This window comes from Homo sapiens, chromosome 21, assembly GCF_000001405.40.
Source record: "Homo sapiens chromosome 21, GRCh38.p14 Primary Assembly".
NCBI lineage: Eukaryota > Metazoa > Chordata > Mammalia > Primates > Hominidae > Homo > Homo sapiens.
This window is the reverse complement of record NC_000021.9, coordinates 36776070-36777886: the sequence shown is the minus strand read 5'-3', so window position 1 is coordinate 36777886 and position 1817 is coordinate 36776070. Positions and strand designations below refer to the sequence as shown.

The 1817-nt window shown below is 42.4% G+C and overlaps 1 protein-coding gene across 14 annotated transcripts in view; it reads left to right on the top strand.

The window, feature by feature from the left end:
- The window catches only part of HLCS (holocarboxylase synthetase), a 241587-nt gene that overhangs the window by 212325 nt on the left and 27445 nt on the right, over nt 1-1817 (top strand). The gene's annotated exons all lie outside the window — the stretch shown is intronic.

The following is a 1817-nucleotide window of genomic DNA, read 5'->3' as shown; positions in this document are numbered from 1 at the left end:
CTCCCCATAAGTGCTTATTAATTACAAAGGCAATTTAGTGGGAAAACCCAGCACAAACCACATAACCCTGTGGGTCAAAGTTAACATCCCTGATGTCAGGAGACAGCACTGCCTGCCTCCCGATGTCAGGCCCTGAGGTCACAATATCGCTTCCATGTATTCCTGCTAGAAATGCACCCCTGAGTCTTATAACGGGGGTATCTGATTATCTAAATTGAGGGACATAGGACAAAATAACTGCCCCTGCTCTTCCAAAAATGTCTGGATCATGAAAAACAAAAAGACTAAGAAACTGAACCAGATTAAAGGAGACGAAGAAGCCGTGACAGCTCAATGCATCAGATGATCCTGGATTTGATCTTAGACCAGAAAAAAAGAGCATTATTACTAGGACAATGGACACAATTTGAATACACTCTATAGATGAGATCTGGGGTTGGCAAAGTTTGGCCCTTGGGCCGAGTCTGGCCTGCTGCCAGTTTTCGTGCCGCATGAGAGCTAAGCATGTTTTTTTACATTTTAAAGGGTCAGAAAAAATTTTAAAGAATAAAATTTATATGACACTTTGGGAAAGGCAAAACTATAGAGAGAGTAAAAATACCGGTGGTTGCCAAAGGGTTCGGGGAGGGGAAGGGATGAGGGATGAATAAGTGAAGCACAGGGGAATTTTTAGGGCAGGGAAACTGTTCTGTGTAATGCTGACATGGTGGCCACAAGATGCGATGCATTTATCAAAACCCACAGAATGTACAGCACAAAGCACGAACCCTAACAGAAGCAGTGAGCTGTGGTTAATAGTCCTATACCAAGACTGCTTCAGAAATCGTAACAAATGACCACACCACAGCAAGATGTGAATGATAAGGAAACTGTTGGGGAAGGGGACATATGGGAACTCTTTCTGCACAATTTTTCTGTAAACCTAAAGTTGCTCTAAAAAAAATAAAAAAGCCTATTAGTTAAAAGGAATATATTGTGATACACAAACATTATGTAAAATTCAAATTTTTATGTCCGTAAATGTTGAGACACAGGCATGGCTGCCTTTGCCCTCGGACGGCAGGTTTGAGCAATTGAGCACAGAAACCATACGGCTGCAGAGCCTACAGTATTTACTCTCTGACCTTTTATAGAGAATTCTGCTGACCTCTGGATTAGATAATAGTGCCATATCAGCCGGGTGCGGTGGCTCACGCCTGTAATCCCAGCACTTTGGGGGGCTGAGATGGGTGGATCACAAGGTCAGGAGTTCGAGACCAGCCCAACCAACGTGGTGAAACCCCATCTCTACTAAAAATACAAAAATTAGCCGGGCATGGTGGTGCACGCCTGTAATCCCAGCTACTCAGGAGGCTGAGGCAGGAGAATCGCTTAAACCTGGGAGGCGGAGGTTGCAGTGAGCTTAGATTGTGCCACTGCACTCTAACCTGGGTGACAGAGTGAAACTCCATCTCAAAAGAAAAAAAAAAGCATAAAATAGTGTTGTAACAAGGCTGTTGATTTCCGTGATTGTACTATAATCAGGTAAGATAAACCCTGGGTTTTAGGAAGCTACACAGACGCATATAGGAATACAGAGACATTAGGGCTGCAGCTCACTCTCAACTGGTTCAGAAAATAATGATGGATAGACAGATGGACAAAACATATATGGTAAAAAGTGAACCTTTAGGAAATCTGGGTGCTGTGTGAAGGGCATGTAGGAATGCTTTGTACTCTTCCTGTAACTTTTCTTTAAGTCTGATATTATTTCGAAGTAAAAGGTTAAAAAGAAAAAAGTATTATAGACCTTACAACCAACCAGAACATGATTTGAA